Source organism: Homo sapiens, chromosome 2 (assembly GCF_000001405.40).
Source record: "Homo sapiens chromosome 2, GRCh38.p14 Primary Assembly".
Taxonomy (NCBI): Eukaryota; Metazoa; Chordata; class Mammalia; order Primates; family Hominidae; genus Homo; species Homo sapiens.
In genome coordinates this window covers 213,334,798-213,357,918 of record NC_000002.12, presented here as the reverse complement: position 1 = coordinate 213,357,918, position 23,121 = coordinate 213,334,798, and the positions used below count along the sequence as shown (strand labels likewise).

The window sequence follows — 23,121 nt, the reverse complement described above, 5'->3', positions numbered from 1 at the left end:
ACTAAACATGGAAAGGAACAACCAGTACCAGCCACTGCAAAAACATGCCAAATTGTAAAGACCATCAATGCTATGAAGAAACTGCATCAATTAATGGGCAAAATAACCAGCGAACATCATAATGACAGGATTGAATTCACACATAACAATATTAACCTTAAATGTAAATGGGCTAAATGCCCCAATTAAAAGACACAGACTGGCAAACTGGATTAACAGTCAAGACCCATCAGTGTGCTGTATTCAGGAGACCCATCTCATGTGCAGAGACACACATAGGCTCAAAATAAAGGGATGAAGGAAGAGCTACCAAGCAAATGGAAAGCAAAAAAAAGCAGGGGTTGCAATCCTAGTCTCTGATAAAACGACTTTAAAACCAACAAATATCAAAAGAGACAAAGAAGGCCATTACATAATGGTAAAGGGATCAATTCAACAAGAAGAGCCAACTATCCTAAATATATATGCACCCAAAGCAAGAGAACCCATATTCATAAAGGAAGTCCTTAGAGACCTATAAAGAGACTTAGACTCCCACACAATAATAATGGGAGACTTTAACACCCTACTGTCAATATTAGACAGATCAACGAGACAGAAGGTTAACAAGGATATCCAGGACTTCAACTCAGCTCTTCACCAAGCAGACCTAACAGACATCTACAGAACTCTCTACCCCAAATCAAAAGAATATACATTCTGCTTGGCACCATATCGCGCTTATTCTAAAATTGACCATATAATTGGAAGTAAAGCACTCCTCAGCAAATGTAAAAGAATACAAATCACAACAAACTGTCTCTCAGACCACAGACCACAGTGCAATCAAATTGGAACTCAGGATTAAGAAACTCACTCAAAACCACACAACTACATGGAAACTGAAGAACCTGCTCCTGAATGACTACTGGGTACATAACGAAATTAAGGCAGAAATAAAGACGTTCTTTGAAATCAATGAGAACAAAGACACAACATACCAGAATCTCTGGGACACATTTAAAGCAGTGTGTAGAGGAAAATTTAGAGCACTAAATACCCGCAAGAGAAAGCAGGAAAGATCTAAAATCAACACCCTAACATCACAATAAAAAGAACTAGAGAAGCAAGAACAAACACATTCAAAAGCTAGCAGAAGGCAAGAAATAACTAAGATCAGAACAGAACTGAAGGAGACAGGGACACAAAAACACCCTTCAAAAAATCAAAGTAGCCAGGAGCTGGCTTTTTGAAAGATCAACAATATTGACAGACCACTAACAAGACTAATAAAGAAGAAAGGAGAGAAGAATCAAATAGATGCAATAAAAAAATGATAAAGGGGATATCCCCACCGATCCCATAGAAATACAAACTACCATCAGAGAATACTATAAACACCTCTATGCAAATAAACTAGAAAATTTAGAATAAATGGATAAATTCCTGGACACACACTCTCTCACAAGAATAAACTAGGAAGAAGTTGAATCTCTGAATTGACCAATCACAGGCTCTGAAATTGCGGCAATAATTAATAACCTACCAACCAAATAAAGTCCAAGATCAGACAGATTCACAGCCAAATTCTGCCAGAGGTACAAAGAGGAGCTGGTACCATTCCTTCTGAAACTATTCCAATCAATAGAGAAAGAGGGAATCCTCCCTAACTCATTTTATGAGGCCAGCATCATCCTGATACCAAAGCCTGGCAGAGACACAACAAAAAAAGAGAATTTTAGACCAATATCCCTGATGAACATCGATGAAAATCCTCATTAAAATACTGGCAAACCGAATCCAGCAGCACATCAAAAAGCTTATCCACCAGAAAAGGCCTTTGACAAAATTCAACATCACTTCATGCTAAAATCTCTCAATAAACTAGGTATTGATCGAAAATACCTCAAAATAATAAGAGCTATTTATGACAAACCCACAGCCAATATCATACTGAATGGGCAAAAACTGGAAGCATTCCCTTTGAAAACTGGCACAAGACAACGATGCCCTCTCTCACCACTCCAATTCAACATAGTTGGAAGTTGGCAGTTCTGGCCAGGGCAATCAGGCAAGAGAAAGAAATAAAGGGGATTCGATTAGAAAAAGAGGGAGTCAAATTGTCCCTGCGTGCAGATGACATGATTGTATGTTTAGAAAACCCCATCATCTCAGCCCAAAATCTCCTTAAGCTGATAAGCAACTTCAGCAAAATCTCAGGATACAAAATCAATGTGCAACAATCACAAGCATTCCTATACACCAATAACAGACAAACAGAGGGCCAAATCATGAGTGAAATCCCATTCACAATTGCTTCAAAGAGAATAAAATACCTAGGAATCCAACTTACAAGGGATGTAAAGGACGTCTTCAAGGAGAACTAAAAACCACTGCTCAATGAAATAAAAGAGGACACAAACAAATGGAAGAACATTCCATGCTCACGGATAGGAACAATCAATATCTTGAAAATGGCCATACTGCCCAAGGTAATTTATAGATTCAATGCCTTCCCCATCAAGCTACCAATGACTTTCTTCACAGAGTTAGAGAAAACTACTTTAAAGTTCATATGGAACCAAAAAAGAGCCTGCATAGCCAAGACAATCCTAAGCAAAAAGAACAAAGCTGGAAGCATCAGGCTACCTGACTTCAAACTATACTACAAGGCTACAATAACCAAAATAGCATGGTACCAGTACCAAAACAGATATATAGACCAGTGGAACAGAACAGAGGCCTCAGAAATAACACCACACATCTACAACCATCTGATCTTTGACAAACCTGACAAAAACAAGAAATGGGGAAAGGATTCCCTATTTGATAAATGGTGCTGGGAAAACTGGCTAGCCATATGCAGAAAACTGAAACTGGATCCCTTCTTTACACCTTATACAAAAATTAATTCACGATGGATTAAATACTTAAATGTAAGGCCTAAAACCATAAAAACCCTAGAACAGAACCTAGGCAATACCATTTAGGACATAGGCATGGGCAAAGACTTTGTGACTAAAACACCAAAAGCAATGGCAACAAAAGCAAAAATTGACAAATGGGATCTAACTAAACTAAAGAGCTTCTGCACAGCAAAAGAAACTACCATCAGAGTGAACAGGTAACCTACACAATGGGAGAAAATTTTTGCCATCTACCCATCTGACAAAGAGCTAATATTCAGAATCTACAAATAACTTCAACAAATTTACAAGAAAAAAACAAAGTATATGAACAGATACTTCTCAAAAGAAGACATTTATGCAGCCAACAGAAACGTGAAAAAATGCTCATCATCATTGGTCATCAGAGAAATGCAAATAAAAACCACAATGAGATACCATCTCATACCAGTTGCAATGGCGATCATTAAAAAGTCAGGAAACAACAGATGCTGGAGAGGATGTGGAGAAATAGGAATGATTTTACACTGTTGGTGGGAGTGTAAATTAGTTCAACCACTGTGGAAGACAGTGTGGTGATTCCTCAAGGATCTAGAACCAGAAATACCATTTGACCCAGCAATCCCATTACGGGGTATATACCCAAATTATTATAAATGATGCTACGATAAAGATACATGCACATGTATGTTTATTGCGGCACCGTTCACAATAGCAAGGACTTGGAACCAACCCAAATGTCCATCAATGATAGACTGGATTAAGAAAGTGTGGCACATATACATCATGGAATACTATGCTGCCATAAAAAAGGATGAGTTCATGTCCTTTGACATGAACATGGATGAAGCTGGAAACCATCATTCTCAGCAAACTATCACAGGTACAGAAAACCAAACACCGCATGTTCTCACTCATAGGTGGGAAACGAACAATGAGAACACATGGACACAGGGCAGGGAGCGTCACACACCAGGGCCTATCATGGGGTGTGGGGCTGGGACAGGGATAGCATTAAGAGAAATACCTAATGTAAATGACGATGGGTGTAGCAAACCAACATGGCACTTGTAAACCTATGTAACAAACCTGTACGTTGTGCACATGTACCCTAGAACTTAAAGTATAAAAAAATAGAATTTTCCCATTAATAAAGATTTTCTAAATTGGGATATTTTTAGGGTGAAAGTGGAATTTATTAAAAATTCCCCTGTGCAAATAGGTGTAAATCAGGATTGCTGTAACAAATGAGGACATAGAGCATCCTGTAACATGAAAGAAGATAGGAAGATATTCCATCCAATAGAACAAAGAAGTGAAAAGAGTTCTGTGCCTGAGGGACGAGATGCCTGAGGGACGAGGTAACAACAGGTCAGACATGAGTCCTACTTTATCTACCAAGTGAAAAATGCAAGTGGGGCCAGTTGGAAATGAAGGGCAAATAAAGCCAGATACTCTAGGGATACTCCAGGAATATAAGTATACTTGCTGTTAGCTTTTCAGGCAATAGCCTAGGAAAATTGACAACCCCTTAAAGAGTCCTTCATATTTTACATTGTGCTAGAAAAACACACTACTCTCCAGGTCATGTTGAAAATGGACTGAAAAAGGTATATCTGTGTAGATGGACCCTAACTGGTTTTCAAATTGCTCATGGCTTGTATTTCCAATATAGAGAAATCAGAAGCCTCAACCACCTCAGTGGGGTACATGGAAATGTTAATATTTGATGTACTGGAGCAGAAAAAAAGCTAGGGTTAGGATAATGAGGCCACAGATATAAAGGAGTTCACAGATATTGTGGCAGAGGCCATGGATTTAGCAAGGTGTGTTGGGTTCACATACAAAAGAACTACCCAGGAACTATCCAGGAGCTATCCAGAACTATCCAGGTTTCATGTACCTGGACACCAACCTAATCAAACAAGTCACAGTACACTGGAGAGTGAATATAGCCTGTAGACTTTAAGCTATACGGATAGACAAGTAACTTTTTTACTAGGAACCATCTGGGGAAGAATAAAAAGGGCATGCCATTTGAAGGAAGAAAATGAGCACTAATAACTATGTTTTAGCTAAACATTCAGTTAATATAATATTCAAACACCCTGTGTTAAACCCAAAGAGACTGGTTTAACTCACAAAGATTGGGATAGTCTTTAATATGCAGGTTATCTTTTCTTTTGTCTTCAGCAGGAGTAGGAGTTCAAAGACAAAACCAGTTGCAGATAATAAAGATATATTTCTTTGCACATCTGAACAGTAGTGTGCAAAATTCAACTCTAACTCATAGATCAAATGATTTTAACTTTTTAAACATGTTTTAATCTTGTACACATATCAATCATAAGGCAAATAATTTATCCCTATTTAATAAGTGAGTAAAAAGAAATATTTAAATAACCTGAATCCTCACTTGGGTGTTTTACAACACAACTGGAATTCATACCAGCCATTCCCAGTTCTTAGCTCTTTCCACTAAACCATCAAGGAGCAACTTGAAACACAAATATTGTACATGGTATATGGGAGATAAGCATGAGACCAGGAGGACTAAAGAGAGTAAGATGGGTAGCAAAAGCTTAAGCTTGGCCCATCTGGAATAGGAAATAGGAAGAGATCTGAATCTAGCTCCTAATACCTCAGGATATAGAATAAAGAAAGCCTTTTGTTAGGAGACTGGGGAAGACAGATTAGATGAAAAGAAGCAAGGGTATGAAATTCTGAAGGTTTGATTATAATGCCATAAAATTTAAATTATTGTTAAACTCATTTGTATTAGTTCATTCTCACACCACTATGAGGAAATACCCGAGACTGGGTATTTTATAAAGAATAGAGGTTTTAGGGTAAAAATATATTAAAAAAAAAAAAAGACTAGAGGTTTAATTGGCTCAAGTTCCACATGGCTGGGGAGTCCTCATGAAATTTACAACCATGGTAGAAACCTCTTCAGAGGGTGGCAGGAAAGAGAGTGAGTGCAAGCAAAAGAAATGCCAGACGCTTATACAACCACCAGATCTCTTGAGACTCACTCAATTATCATGAGAATAGCATGGGAGAAACCACCCCCATGATTCAGTTACCTCCACCTGGTCCCGCCCTTGACACGTGGGGATGATTACAATTCAAGGTGAGATTTGGATGGGGACACAGCCAAATCATATTATCATTGTATCCAATATTACTTAAAATTCAAACATTCAAAACACAAAATTAAATTCAAGCACAAGGGGCATCAAGACAATGATGTTTTGCATTTTCGAAGCTAAGAATTTCACTCAAAAGACAAAATAAACTTGATTAAAGCATGTCTTGACAAATAAAATTATTCAAAAGAGTATTATCATCATGTAAGCTTTTGTAGCTTCTCAAAGTTTGGCCAAAAATGAAAATCTCCAGAAAACAATAATAGAATGTTAAGCATAGTTGCAGTTTTATATATTCTAAAAAAACTGATAAATGGTTTTAAAGTGGCATATAAACATTTTGTTTCTTTTTCTTAAATTTTTATGCCAAAGGTATCTCACCCACTACCCTAGGCCTAAGCCTACACAAAAACCCTAAAAGGATGTCAAGCATTAGCAAAAATAACCAAAAACTTGAGTCAGTACCTATGAGGGAGTTTTTATTTATTAAAATATCTCATATAAGTTTCACAGCAATCTTAAATGGTATGTCTTTGGTCTTTGCAGCTACATTTTATATATGAGAAATCTGAGCTCCAATTTGTTTAAATGACTCTCCTAAGGTTAATGTTTATAGCTGTCAAAGCTGGCATTTAAACCCAAGTTTGACCACAATGGCTAAGTTTTTTCTTCTAACTATAATTTAATAATCTGCTATAAATTTATGTCTCAATTAAATGATATTTAATTTAATTTTTTTGAGACACTGTCTCACTCTGTTGCCTAGGCTAGAGTGCAGTGGTATGGGGCCATCTCGGCTCACTGCAACCTCCACTCCCGGGTTCAAATGATTCTCATGCCTCAGCCTCCCACGTAGCAGGGATTACAGGCCTGTGCCACCACACCCGGCTATTTGTTTTTTGTTTTTTTTTTTTTGTATTTTTAGTAGAGACAGGTTTTCACCATATTGGCCAGGCTGGTCTCAAACTCCTGGCCGCAAATGATCCACCTACCTTGGTCTCCCAAAGTGCTGGGATTACAGGCATGAGCCACTGCCCCTGGCCTAATTTTATAATAATCTTTATAGGTAGTTAAATGGAGAAATACTTTTTCTGAATGTTTCCAAATGGATCTCTTTTACATGAAAGTTGGTTGAAAATGTTTTAAAATTAATCTCAGAAACAAAATCAGTATTTCTACTTGTATTATTAAAAAAATGATTAAAAGATCATTTTAAGTTAGCTTTGACTATATCTTTACCTGCCCAACTACTTTGTCTCTTTCCAAGGAGGTCAGCATTTTCTCCTTCAGTAAAGTGTGGTGTTTCTCATGTAACACCCTTATAGTCGGTTCATAAGATGCATAATGTAACTTCAACCTATAAAAAATAAAGTCAATAGCATCTTAAGGGGTTATTGAGTTAAATCAGTAATTTCCATCTAACATCAAAACCTTTTTTTCTTTTTCTTTTTTGCTGTGAAATAAAAATGAATAATCATATAAAGGTTAACACACTACAGCCAAGAAGCACAAAAAGCATACAACTTCACTGCAACTTGAGGGTGGAGGGTGCAGTGAGGGAGCAAATCACGTCTTAACTAGTTCTCTATTTCCTACTAGCACCTTTTGCTGTGTCCAAGTATGTACTCAGAAGATTGCTGCTACCCATGAAATTTTTTAAAATGCAATTCCTTTTGTCAATTTGGAAATAACTATCAGAAAGACAAGGGCCACAAACAATAGATGATTAAACATGGAGTGTCATTCACATCAAAATAAACTAAAGGATAGTCTTTAAAACAAGTTTGGCTAATCTTGTATTTTAAAAATTAAGTATAAAAACATTTTGATATCTAAACAGAAGGAATAATTCAGCCTAGTATATAATATACCTTTAAAAAATCTGTTTTATTTGAAAATGACCTCAAAATCTTTTTATTGAAGTGTAATTTACATGGATAAAACATACAGCTCTTAAGCGTTACAGTTCAGAGTTTTGAGAAATGCACACCCAAGTAGTATACATTATCAAAATATGAAGCATGTCTAACACCCCAGAAAATTCTAGAACTTCATTTATTTGGTATCATATAACATGTTCTCTTTTTTAACTAGTTTATTTCACTCAGTGTAATGTTTCTTTAGATTATTCCACATTACTTTACATAGCAATACTTCACTCCTTTTTACTGTGAGTAGTATTCCCTTGTATGTATGTATATTCCACAATGTGGTTATCCAATATTTTGCTGATGAAAACTTGAGTGGATTTTAGTTTGGGCTATCATGAATAAGGCCTCTTTAAACATTTTTATATAAGTCATGTAATATTTTTGGTCATATATCTTCATTTATTTTAGATAAACACCCAGGAGTTTAATTGCTGGGTTATAATTTATACTTCCAACAACCCTATATGACAGTCCTGGGTACCCTACATTATTGCCAGCCTCTGGTGATATCAGTCTATTAAGAGTTTATCCATCTTATTATCAAATTTGTCAGTTTTATTACATTTTCCATTAACCAACATCTGACTTTGTTGATTTTTTGTTTGTCCATTTGCTATTTTATTGATTTCAGCTCTTATTTTTCATTTCTTCATGTTTCTTGGTTGTAATTTGCTCTTTTTAAGCTTCTAAGATGACATCATTGGTTTTAAAACTTTATTTTCTAAAATAAGCATTTAAAGCCATCAATTTCAATTTAAGCCGCATTGGCTGCATTTCAATATGCTGCATTTTTAATCATTCAGCGCAAAATATTCTGTAATTTTCTTCTTTGCCTCATGGATTATTTAAAGTATACTACTTAATTTCCAAATATTTGAGAAATCCCCTGAGATTTTTAAAAATTGATTTCTAATTTAATTTGGTTGTGGTCAGAAAATATTCTATGTATGACATCCATCCTTTGAAATGTATAGAGACTTGTTTTATGGCTCAGTATACGATCTATTTTAGTGACAATTCCATGTGCACTGGAAAGAGCAAAGTAGAAGGAAATACAGAGAATGCCACAAAGATACTCCTCAAGAAGAGCAACTCCAGGACACATAATTGTCAGATTCACCAAAGTTGAAATGAAGGAAAAAATGTTAAGGGCAGCCAGAGAGAAAGGTCGGGTTAGTCACAAAGGGAAGCCCATCAGACTAACAGCTGATCTCCTGGCAGAAACTCTACCAGCCAGAAGAGAGTGGGGGCCAATATTCAACATTCTGAAAGAAAAGAATTTTCAACCCAGAATTTCATATCCAGCCAAACTAACCTTCATAAGTGAAGGAGAAATAAAATCCTTTACAGACAAGCAAATGCTGAGAGATTTTGTCACCACCAGGCCTGCCCTAAAAGAGCTCCTGAAGGAAGCACTAAACATGGAAAGGAACAACCGGTAACAGCCACTGCAAAAACATGCCAACTTGTAAAGACCATCGAGGCTAGGAAGAAACTGCATCAACTAATGAGCAAAATAACCAGCTAACATCACAATGACAGGATCAAATTCACACATAAGAATATTAACCTTAAATGTAAATGGGCTAAATGCTCCCGTTAAAAGACACAGACTGGCAAACTGGATAAGGAGTCAAGACCCATCATTGTGTTGCATTCAGGAAACCCATCTCACATGCAGAGACACACATAGGCTCAAAATCAAGGGATGGAGGAAGATCTACCAAGCAAAACAAAAAAAAGCAGGGGTTGCAATCCTAGTCTCTGATAAAACAGACTTTAAACCAACAAAGATCAGAAGAGACAAAGAAGGCCATTACATAATGGTAAAGGGATCAATTTGACAAGAGCTAACTATCCTAAATATATGTGCACCTAATACAGGAGCACCCAGATTCTTAAAGCAAGTCCTTAGAGACCTACAAAAAGACTTAGACTCCCACACAATCATAATGGGAGATTTTAACACCCCACTGTCAACATTAGACAGATCAACGAGACAGAAAGTTAACAAGGATATCCAGGAATTGAACTCAGCTCCACACCAAGCAGACCTAATAGACATCTACAGAACTCTCCACCCCAAATCAACAGAATATACAATCTTTTCAGCACCACACCGTACTTATTCCAAAACTGACCACACAGTTGGAAGTAAAGCACTCCTCATCAAATGTAAAAGAACAGAAATTATAACAAACTATCTCTCAGACCACAGTGCAGTCAAACTAGAACTCAGGATTAAGAAACTCACTGAAAACCGCTCAACTACATGGAAACTGAACAACCTGCTCCTGAATGACTACTGGGTACATAACGAAATGAAGGCAGAAATAAAGATGTTCTTTGAAACCAATGAGAACAAAGATACAACATACCAGAATCTCTGGGACACATTTAAAGCAGTGTGTAGAGGAAAATTTATAGCACTAAATGCCCACAAGAGAAAGCAGGAAAGATCTAAAATTGACACCCTAACATCACAATTAAAAGAACAAGAGAAGCAAGAGCAAACACATTCAAAAGCTGGCAGAAGGCAAGAAATAACTAAGATCAGAGCAGAACTGAAGGAAATAGAGACACAAAAAACCCTTCAAAATATCAATGAATCCAGGAGCTGATTTTTTGAAAAGATCAACAAAATTGAGAGACCACTAGCAAGACTAATAAAGAAGAAAAGAGAGAAGAATCAAATAGACACAATAAAAAATGATAAAGGGGATATCACCACCGATCCCACAGAAATACAAACTACCATCAGAGAATACTATAAACACCTCTATGCAAATAAACTAGAAAATCTAGAAGAAATGGATAAATTCCTCGACATATACACCCTCCCAAGACTAAACCAGGAAGAAGTTGAATCTCTGAATAGACCAATTGCAGGCTCTGAAATTGAGGCAATAATTAATAGCTTACCAACCAAAAAAAGTCCAGGACCAGAAGGATTCACAGCCGAATTCTACCAGAGGTACAAGGAGGAGCTGGTACCATTCCTTCTAAAACTATTCCAATCAATAGAAAAAGAAGGAATACCTTCCTAACTCATTTTATGAGGCCAGCATCATCCTGATACCAAAGCCTGGCAGAGACACAACAAAAAAAAAAAGAGAATTTTAGACCAATATCCCTGATGAACATCGATGCAAAAATCCTCAATAAAATACTGGCAAACCGAATCCAGCAGCACATCAAAAAGCTTATCCATCATGATCAAGTGGGCTTCATCCCTGGGATGCAAGGCTGGTTCAACATATGCAAATCAATAAACATAATCCAGCATATAAACAGAGCCAATGACAAAAAACATAGGATTATCTCATTAGAGCAGAAAAGGCCTTTGACAAAATTGAACAACCTTCATGCTAAAAACTCTCAATAAATGAGGTATTGATGGGACGTATCTCAAAATAATAAGAGCTATCTATGACAAACCCACAGCCAATATCATACTGAATGGGCAAAAACTGGAAGCATTCCCTTTGAAAACTGGCACAAGACAGGGATGTCCTGCCTCATCACTCCTATTCAGCACGGTGTTGGAAGTTCTGGCCAGGGCAATCAGGCAGGAGAAGGAAATAAAGCGTATTCAATTAGGAAAAGAGGAAGTCAAATTGTCCCTGCTTGCAGATGACATGATTGTATATCTAGAAAACCCCACTGTCTCAGCCCAAAATCTCCTTAAGCTGATAGGCAACTTCAGCAAGGTCTCAGGATACAAAATCAATGTGCAAAAATCACAAGCATTCTTATACACCAATAACAGACAAACAGAGAGCCAAATCATGAGTGAACTCCCATTCACAATTGCTTCAAAGAGAATAAAATACCTAGGAATCCAACTTACAAGGGATGTGAAGGACCTCTTCAAGGAGAACTAAAAACCACTGCTCAAGGAAATAAAAGAGGATACAAACAAATGGAAGAACATTCCATGCTCATGGGTAGGAAGAATCAATATCGTGAAAATGGCCATACTGCCCAAGGTAATTTATAGATTCAATGCCATCCCTATCAGGCTACCCATGACTTTCTTCACAGAACTGGAAAAAACTACTTTAAAGTTCATATGGATCCAAAAAAGAGCCTGCATTGCTAAGTCAATCCTAAGCAAAAAGAACAAAGCTGGAAGCATCACGCTACCTGACTTCAAACTACACTACAAGGCTACAGTAACCAAAACAGCACGGTACTGGTACCAAAACAGAGATATAGACCAATGGAACAGAACAGAGCCCTCAGAAATAATGCCACACATCTACAACTATCTGATCTTTGACAAACCTGACAAAAACAAGCAATGGGGAAAGGATTCCCTATTTAATAAGTGGTGCTGGGAAAACTGGCTAGCCATATGTAGAAAGCTGAAACTGGATCCCTTCCTCACACCTTATACAAAAATTAATTCAAGATGGATTAAAGACTTAAATGTTAGACCTAAAACCATAAAAACCCTAGAAGAAAACCTAGGCAATACCATTCAGGACATAGGCATGGGCAAGGACTTCATGTCTAAAACACCAAAAGCAATGGCAACAAAAGCCAAAATTGACAAATGGGATCTAATTAAACTGAAGAGCTTCTGCACAGCAAAAGAAACTACCGTCAGAGTGAACAGGCAACCTACAGAATGGGAGAAAATTTTTGCAATCTACTCATCTGACAAAGGGCTAATATCCAGAATCTACAAAGAACTCAAACCAATTTACAAGAAAAAAACAAACAACCCCATCAACAAGTGGGCGAAGGATATGAACAGACACTTCTCAAAAGAAGACATTTATGCAGCCAACAGACACATGAAAAAATGCTCATCACACTGGCCATCAGAGAAATGCAAATCAAAACCACAATGAGATACCATCTCACACCAGTTAGAATGGCAATCATTAAAAAGTCAGGAAACAACAGGTGCTGGAGAGGATGTGGAGAAATAGGAACACTTTTACACTGTTGATGGGACTGTAAACTAGTTCAACCATTGTGGAAGTCAGTGTGGTGATTCCTCAGGGATCTTGAACTAGAAATACCATTTGACCCAGCGATCCCATTACTGGGTATATACCCAAAGGATTATAAATCATGCTGCTATAAATACACATGCACACGTTATGTTTATTGCGGCACTATTCACAATAGCAAAGACTTGGAACCAACCCAAATGTCCAACAATGATAGACTGGATTAAGAAAATGTGGCACATATACACCATGGAATACTATGCAGCCATAAAAAATGATGAGTTCATGTCCTTTGTAGGGACATGGATGAAGCTGGAAACCATCATTCTCAGCAAACTATTGCAAGGACAAAAAACCAAACACCGCATGTTCTCACTCATAGGTGGGAACTGAACAATGAGAACACATGGACACAGGAAGGGGAACATCACATACCGGGGCCTGTTGTGGGGTGTGGGAAGTGGAGAGGGATAGCATTAGGAGATATACCTAATGTTAACTGATGAGTTAATGGGTGCAGCACACCAACATGGCACATGTATACATATGTAACAAACCTGCACGCTGTGCACATGTACCCTAAAACTTAAAATACAAAAAAAAAAGAAAAAAACTCCAGTGAATAAGGTTGATTCACTTCTAGGGTGGTCCTTCAAAACTTGGAAAAAGATAGCCAACGCTGTGAAGTGGAAATGCTGGAGCTACCCTGGCAGACAGTAGAGGAAGCACTCCGTAACACCATAGCAATTATATACTGTTATAAATAGCCTCAATTTTTCTGCAAATTACCCCTGGCTATTTAATTGAGTGACTATGTACTGGGGAAAGATATTTTAAGAAGTGGTCATTCAAATTCAGAAACCTAAAGCAGAATCATGACCCCTCTGTTAGAATGGGAGTCTACAGGGGAACAGAAAATAAGTACAGTCCTGGCTAAAGTCTGCTCACAGCATATTTGGTTCATGTAAGCACCCAGTGATCAACTCCAGTCTTCCTGAGTAAATAATTTGAATTTGTATACTTAACAATTGGAATAAGCTAGCAGAATAGGGAAGGTTATGCCCAGCCTCTTCTTGGATTTCAAATACACACCTATGATGGACTATTTAATATTGCTCCAGAGGTTCTATTTATGTTTTTTCAGTCTTTTTTCTTTGAGTCCCTGCTCATTTCTTTTCAGCTTTTTTCTCTTTGTGCACCAGTTGGATCATTTTCCATCTTCCTGTCTTCATGTTCATTGATCTTTCCATTGGCAATGTCCAATCTTCTAAGACCTATTAGTAAATTTTTCATTTGCATATTATGTTTTTTTCAGTTCTCAAATTTCAGTTTAATTCTGTTTATCACTCCTTACAGTCACCATTTTCTTTAAAACTCTAAGCATTTCATAATAACTGTTGTAAAGTCCCTGCCTGCTAATTCTGTAATTTTCTTTTCTCTGTGTCTGGTTCTGCTTTTTCCTGATTATAGGACATGTCTTCCTGCTTCTAGATATATCTATAGATAAATCAATACGTATAAACTTTATTTATTTATTGTATGTTGGACATACACTTGTCTGAATTTTGTTTTCTTCCTTTAAAGAGTTATTTTCTGACAGACAGTTAATTTCCCAGTGAATCAGCTCGAGTTTTTCAAAGCTTACCTTTAAGCTTTTTGGAGAAAAATTCTAAAGCAACACTTTGTCTAGGACCAACTAGGTCTGCTTCTGTGGCATGGCTTGTGGAGGATATTAAGTAAATGCTCAGAGTATTCAGTGAGGTTACTTCCCTTATGGCTGGTCAGAACTCCTGCATCTCCCAGCACTGTGCAACCTCTGGAATCTCTATTTTGCTCAGAGTTTCCCAGGTGCTGTTTCCTGCCAGGCTTCATGTTCTCTCATCCTATACTTCCACAAGTTAGTTACGTGGCCAAAGACTGAAGAGAACCATTACAGATATTTCTTAAGCTACATTTCATGTACCTCCTTCCTTCTGTGTACACCATGCTGCAAGTTCCAGCTACCTCTGCAGCCCTGAACTCTGATCTCTGCCTCCTCAGCTCTGAAAGCCACCATGCTCTGCTTGGGTTATATCTGGTCAAACTGTGGGCTGAAAAGTACCTTCAGGAAGATATGTGGGTTGATCATCCTGCTCATTTTGTGTTTGTCTTCTCTTAGGCATCACGGTCCTGCTTTGCCAATTTTCCACCATCTTAAAAAAAAAACTGCCTCATGTATTTTGTCCAGTCATGTAGTTCCTTACATTTGGGGAGCTAGTCCAGTACCAGTTGGAGAGCTAATTCTATACTATTTACAATGACATAGCCCAAAGCAGAAATTCCCCAAAAGTCCTCCAAAAGAATAATATTTTATTCCATTAATAATTAAAACAGAGCTTTTTATTTTCTATATTTTCATAGCAGTATTTATAAACGTCATTAATTTGGATATCACATTATACCTCATTGATGATAGCAATAGAAATTAAGTATTAAAGTGCAGTTGCATTATATATACATTTAATGTGTATTAATATGACACTCAGAAAAAGTAACAAAAATAAAAATTTAGGTAGTATGTACAGTTCTATCCTCCTTTCTGATTAGCTTAGTGTGTGTTTATATATATATATAATACATATATATGTAATATATATATACATATATGTAATATATATATACACATATATGTAACATATATATACACATATGTCATATATATATACATATGTATGTAATATATATACACTTTGCTGCATACTATAATCTCCATAAACATTACATATTCATAAATACATACAACACACAGATATAGAATTGTATACACAAAACTATATATACTGTAATCTGTGGATGGTTGAAGAATTTTAAAGAAAATATTGATGGCAAAATTTCCCTTTTTTTACTAACTTTGGAATTTAACTCATTCATGAGATATGGCTTGACTATCTTCTGTTAAAAGAATTAACAACACATAGAATTTCACTGGAATATAACAAGGAAACAACATCTAGAAAAACTCTGTTTAATCTATTTTAAAGGGTGTGTCTATTTTATAAAGTCCATAAGTACTTCATAATTCATCTGTTTGCAAGTTCTAATATTAGCTATAGATAATTCTGAAAATAAGCACGTTCATAATAAGATACTTGTGTTAAATGGGAAATACTGGCCAGGCTTGGTCACTCATGCCTGTAATTCCAACACTTTGGGAGGCCGATCTGAGAGGATCACTGGTGCCCAGGAGTTCAAAACCAACCTGATCAACAAAGTGAGACCCCCATCACTACAAAAAAATTAAAACAAAAAAATTTAGCTGGGTATGGTGGCATGCACCTGTAGACCCAGCTACTCAGAAGGCTGAGGCGGAAGGACTGCTTGAACCCAGGAGTTGGGGCTACAGGATGCCTTAATCTCACCACTGCATTCTAAAATGGGCGACAGAATGAGAGTCTGACTCTAAAAAGCAAAACAAAACAACAAACAAAGAAATACTGTAAAATTTATTATCAAACTAGTTGAAAAATTTACAGAAAAATAAGGTAAACATTTAATGGTTTACAATGAAAGGAAATATGGATACACTATTAATGTATTTGGGTAAAATGTGACATAAGAGATTTCAGACCCCAACTTTGCCTGGCATCAAAACACTCTGTCCTATAGCTGATTTATTATGCAATCGCGCAGCTATCGGGCAAAGTATTCACTGTGTTTGACTGATTAACTTGATACCCAGTTTTGTGACTTGATGGCATCATTGAAGTTTTGTTTTAGGTCTTTATAAAATGAGCTTTAGTGATTCATCCAGATTGTTAAATGGAGATGTTTTTCTTAATGATTAAATGAAGAAATAAAGGCTATCTGAGTATACACCAAGTGTAGCTGTATTACAAAGTAATGTGTGCTTCTTTACCAGGGTGCCTGAAATAATGAAATACGAAAAAAACATGTAATCTAAAATGATGAATTTTATGTGAAAAGTATTCTTTAAACATATTAGGAATTTGAACAAGTATGGTATATTTTTAAATATAAATGGTTAGGGGCTATTGTATTGGACAGTACAGATACAGAGTATTTATATCATCACAAAAAGTTCTGTTGGATAGCACTGCCTTAGAGCAAGCAAAATATAATTTTATTTAAGGATTGTAAATTTATTTTCTTGTTTTTGTAGGGGAGGAAGGTAAAGAAGGAGAGAAAGTAAATCTCAATAATGCCTTCAAAATAATTTCTAAAAGACTTACAAATTCATAGTCATTTAGAGATATGTCCCCTATCCCTGCAATACCACAGCTGCACTTTACTCTCTATGTACACAATTTGATGAACGTAACATGTTTTTTCATGTCTTGGTGCATTTGCAGAGGATGTACTATCTGCAAAGAGCACTGTGCGGACCCCACTTCCTCACTGTCTACTCTTACTCATACTTGAGAATTTAATTCCTGTGGAAATAAATCCTTGAGCCCTCTCACACTCCAGTCGTATTGGGATGATGGCCCTCTTGGGTGGCATAGCAACAATGCAGTGTATTTCAGTATATTTCTGCTTAACTCCTCCCACTTCACACACACAAGTATTTTCTGAGACCCTTGACAGCAAGGGTCGCAACTTACTCATCTTATGCTCAATAACCGTGGAATTAATAACTTTGTCTAAAACTTTGTCATAATCAAATTACTTAACATGTATTAAATAACTCTTTAATAAATATGCCAACAAGTATAAGCTTACCCTTTGAGGTCATTAATTAATTTGTTTTTTTCCTGGACTATTCGCTTATGATGCATTCGATGAAAATCACGTTCTTTCTGAATTTTCAGCAAATCTTCTCTAGCTTTGCTGAAAAAAAAATAGTAACTTTATAAATCACTGCTAATTCTTTTTCGAAAAATTATTTAGTCTTGAGTTCAAATCCAGTATTGTGCCATTCAAAAGATAATAGGAAAACAAATATTTTGCTATAATTCTCATCGAAGATTCTCATCAAACATAATTTGTATAAGGTCATATTAGGTATGGGGGTGAAGGATGAAAGGGCAAAACCTGTAGTTCCAAAAATATGATTCATCTACATTTCATCTAAGTAAATGAAAATTAAAGGTATGCTGCCAGAACATGTCCAAAGTATAAACCATCTATTTCCAAAGAGAACCTTTTTGGCTTGGAAAATTGAAATATATGAAACATGACAATTCAAAATTATTAAAAATAAAGACTTTATGGAATTTAACTCTGAACTTCCTAGAATGTAAAGTTAAAGAGAATATACTAGATTATTCAGTTCTGATAATTGGGAAAAGAAAGCATATAAATTCTAGAAAACCAAGATTTCATGGTATAAAATAAATATATATCATCAGTGGATCTGATTACTACATAATTCATAGCTTGATGAGAATGGTCTTCAATATCAGTGCTGTAATACAGAAAAATTTTTCAACTTGATATATCTTCTGCAAACCTCTGGCATAAAGCAAGCTAAAGGATTCTTTCTAATCCCAGGTTCTATGTGAACATTTAATGAGAATGTTTCACTTACCTCCATAATATATTAGTTTCAATACAATAATGTGAAATATAATTTATAATGAAAAAGTAGTTCTCAGCCTCAGATAACTGACAAAGTGCTACAGCATTGACACTGTCACATTTCCATTCTGAAAAATGGACTGATACCTCATATTAGGATTGAAACAGAAGAAATCTACTTCTCTGGGTCACAATTATTTCAAAATTTTGATTCACATAAAATAAATGCACACGAACAGATTTCTGCTTTAAGCGGTGTCAGAAGTCAATCACTGAGGATCAGCGTATGGGATGCTACCAAAGATGTTTATGAGATAAAGTAAGGCTCTCAATGAAGCATATGTTGATTAACGACTTCTTGATGAAGATCAAATTACATGAGGCATATGGTGCAAGGTCTCTGATCCATTCTTCCAAGTTTCTTTCTTCTTTTCTTTTTTTTTTTTTTAAGTTCTGGGGCACAGGTGCAAGTTGTGAAGGTTTGTTACATAGGTAAACATGTGCCACGGTGGTTTACTGCACCTATCAACCCATCACCTAGCTATTAAGCGCAGCATACGTTCGCTATTTTTCCTAATGCTCCACCTCCCCCAACCACATACTCCACCCCCTGACAGGCGCCAGTGTGTGTGGTTCCCTTTCCTGTGTCCATGTGTTTTGATTGTTCAGCTCCCACTTATAAGTGAGAACATGCAGTGTTTGGTTTTCTGTTACTGCATTAGTTTGCTGAGGATAATGGCTTCCAACTCCATCCATGTCGCTACAAAGGACATGGTCCCATTCCTTTTTATGGCTGCATAGTATTTCATGGTGTATATGTGCCACATTTTCTTTATCCAGTCTATCATTGATGGGCATCTGGGTTGATTCCATGTCTTTGTGATCGTAAATAGTGCTGCAATGAACATACACATGCATGTGTCTTTGTAACAGAATGATTTATATTCCTTTGGGTATATACCCAGTAATGGGATTAAGTCTATGTGTGTCTTTGCATGTGAGATAGGTCTCTTGAATACAGCACACCAATGAATCTTGCCTCTATCCAGCTTGCCACTCTGCATCTTTTAATTGGGGCATTTAGTCCATTTACATTTAAGGTTAATATTTTATGTATCAATTTGATCCTGTCACTATGATGCTAGCTGGTTATTTTGTAGACTTGTTTGCGTAGTTGCCTCATATTGTCACTGGTCTGTGTACTTCAGTGTGTTTTTGTAGTGGCTGGTAATGGTTTTTCCCTTCCATATTTAGTGCTTCCTTCAGGAGTGCTTGCAAGGCAGGCCTGGTGGTGATGAATTCCCTCAGCATTTGCTTGTCTGAAAAAGATTTTATTTCTCCTTCACTTATGAAGCTGAGTTTGACCAGATATGAAACTCTAGGTTGGAAATTCTTTTAAGAGTGTCGAATATTGGCCCCCACTATCTTCTGGCTTGTAGGGTTTCTGCAGAGATCCACTGTTAGTCTGATGGGCTTCCCTTTATAGGTGACCTGGACTTTCTCTCTGGCTGCCCTTAACATTTTTTCCTTTATTTCAGCCCTGGAGAATCTGATGATTATGTGTCTTTTGCTTGATCTTCTCATGTAGTATCTTACTAGGGTTGTCTGGGTTTCCTGAATTTGAACACTGGCCTGTCTTGCTAGGTTGAGGAAATTCTGGATGATATCCTGAAGTGTGTTTTCCAACTTGGTTCCATTCTCTCCGTCTCTTTCAGATACTCCTATCAGTCATAGGTTTGGTTTTTTAACATAATCACACAGTTCTCAGAGGTTTTTTTCATTCCTTTTCATTCTTTTTTTCTCTCCTCTTGTCTGCCTGTCTTATTTCAGCAAGATAGTCTTCAAGCTCTGATACCCTTTCTTCTGCTTCGTCTCTTTGGCTATTGATGCTTGTTATTGCACTGTGAAGTTCTCGTGTTGTGTTTCTCAGCTTGATCAGGTAATTTATATTCCTCTCTATACTAGTTATGTTGGTAAACAGCTCCTGTAATGTTTTATCATGGTTCTTAGCTTCTTTGCAATGAGTTAGAACATAATTCTTTAGCTCAGTGAAGTTCATTATTACCCATCTTCTGAAGCCTACTTCTGTCAATTCATCCATCTCAGCCTCAGCCCAGTTCTGTGCCTTTGCTGGAGACATGTTGCAATCATTTGGAGGAGAAGAGGCACTCTGGCTTTTTGAGTTTTCAGGATTTTTGTGTTGATTCTTTCTCATCGTCATGAGTTTATCTACCTTTGATCTTTGAGGTTGCTGACCTTTGGATGGGTTTTTGTGGGGTCCTTTTCATTGATGTTGTTGTTGTTTTCTGTTTTTCTTTTAGCAGTCAGGCCCCCTCTTCTACAGGGATGTTGCAGTTTGCTGGAGGTCCACTCTAGACCCTATTTGCCTGGGTCCCTCCCACCCCTGGAGGTATCACCAGCAGAGGCTACAGACCAGCACAGATGGAAGCCAGCTCCTTCCTCTGGAAGCTGTGTCCCAGAGGGGCACCAACCTGATGCCAGTTGGAATTCTCCCATATGAGTTATCTGTGGACTCCTGTTGGGAGGTCTCACCTAGTCAGCAGGAGTGGGATCAGGCACCTGCTTAAATAAGCAGTCTGGCTGCCCCTTGGTGGAGCGGGTGTGCTGCACCCTCATCTGGGCTCCCCTGACTCTCCAGAGCCAGCAGGCAGAAAAGACAAAGACCACTGATCCATGATACCGTAGCTGCCCCTCCTAGTGGCTCCTCTCAGGGATATCAAAGTTCTGTTCATAAACTCCTGTCTAGGGATGCTGAAATTCCCACAGAGAGGCCTCACCCAGTGAGAAAAAATGGATCAGTGTTCTACTTAAGGAAGCAGTCTAGCCATGAACTGACACAGCTGCTGTGCTGCGCTGTGGGGAATTGCTCCTAGTCCAGACCACCCAGTCTCACTGGCACCTACAGCAGGGGACAATGGCCAACTGGAGCCGCAGTGATGGTGGCCAACCCTCCTGCCCTCGGAATTAAGTCTTCCTAGGCAGTCTCTGACCTGCTGCGTTGGCTGGCAGGGATTCCAAGCCAGTGTGTTTTAGCTTGTGGGGTTCTGTGGAAGTGAGGCCACTTGGCCCCCTGGCTTCAGCCCCCTTCCCACAGGAGTGGACAGATATCCTGCCTCATGGGAGTTCCCAGAGCTGGAGTATGCAAATACTGTGTCTTGGTGCCTGCTGAAATGGCCAGCCACCCAAGCAGCTGCCATGTCTTTACAGTTCTGTGCTTGGGACCCAAGGCCCTGGTGGCGTGGGCTCGCAAGGGGAACTCCTGATCCGCAGGTTGCAAGGATCCATGACAAAAGCAAGGTTTTCAGGGAGGGGTAGCACAATCCCTCACCGCCTCCTTTGGCTGGGGGAGAAAGCTTCCTTTGCCCACACAGCTCTTGGGTGGGCCCTCGATGCTCTTCTTTGCTCTCCCTGGGTTGCGCCAACCACCTAGTCAGTCCCAATGAGAAAAGCTTGGTACCTCAACTGAAGATTCAGAATTCACTGGCTGTTTTCATCCTTCTTGGTGGGAGCCACAGAGTGGAGCTGTTTCTATTTGGTAAACTTGGCTACTCTCACCCCCTAAGTTTCTTTCTCCCCACCTCCCAGCACACCCTATTTTTTTAAAAATGACCTCTACTGTTATTTTACTGCCAATTTTGTAGTTTTCATTACACGTAAATAAACAATGTTCAGGTGACTCACAATACTCATGGTGAACTTTCTCCACCTAAACCTCAACCTCATTTTCATGCCAACAATCTTATACGTGCAAGAAATTATTGATTCGAACATTCAGTCTTGAAAAATCATCTGAGGAATATATGAATGATTAGATAAACAATTTATTCTTTTCTGATTTTAACCCATTTGCGTATATCAAGAATATAATTTGACAAATAACATAAGCTGACAACATAAATTGAGAAATAATATAGATACTGATATTGAATGAAGTGCTTTTTATCTTTTCTAATTTGTTATTGTATTGCTTCTGGTCAAGATGTCTCTGTTGTAAAAACAAAAATTAATGGTTATTTTCCTTTAAATATATATAGTGTATTTTTTAGTGTAACAGTTACATATACTCACTTTAACAAAAAAGATAGTGCAATTTAGGACAGTTTTGCATTTCAACAACAATAAAGCCTGTATTTAAAATAGGAATACATGTCCATCTTCCAATTTTTAGATTGTAGATAGGGATGTAATTTTCTCAAGTTCATTATGAGATTCTTTGGGAACAGTTCATTATGTTTGTGACAACCTTTTTGAATTGTCTTGTTATTTGCATGCTTTCATCTCTTCCAAAATATTACAAACTTCTAGTTTTAACCATTTATCTATATTGCTAAATGAAAATATAATTTTTAATTATTACTTTTTAAAATTTTTGTGGGTACATAGTAGATGTATATATTCATGGAGTATATGAGATATTTTGAAACAGGCATGCATGTGTAATAATCATGGAAAATAGAGCATCCATCCCCTCAAGCATTTATCCTGTTACAAAAAATCGAATTTTACTTTCGGTTATTTTTAAATGTACAATTAAGTTATGACTACAGTGACCCTATTGTGCTAACAAATACTAGGTCTTATTCATTCTAATTTTTTCTGTACCCATTAACCATCCCTGGCTCACCCACACACACACACTACCCTTCCCAGTCTC

General features: G+C 37.4%; 1 protein-coding gene across 23 annotated transcripts in view; it reads right to left on the bottom strand.

The window, feature by feature from the left end:
• The window catches only part of SPAG16 (sperm associated antigen 16), a 1,126,038-nt gene that overhangs the window by 1,052,583 nt on the left and 50,334 nt on the right, over window positions 1–23,121 (bottom strand). For 22 of the 23 annotated variants that reach the window (NR_047659.2, NR_047660.2, XM_011511814.2 and 19 more), the window contains 2 exons: window positions 17,649–17,756; window positions 7,274–7,391 (listed from right to left, as the gene is read on the bottom strand). Coding sequence is in view for 21 of the 23 variants with exons in the window: in XM_011511814.2 (XP_011510116.1) it covers window positions 7,274–7,391; window positions 17,649–17,756 (226 nt within the window). In the remaining 2 variants the exon portion in view is untranslated. Of the gene's footprint in view, window positions 1–7,273; window positions 7,392–14,021; window positions 14,200–17,648; window positions 17,757–23,121 lie in introns of those variants that run through there. The other variant, XM_017004898.1, reaches the window with a different exon arrangement.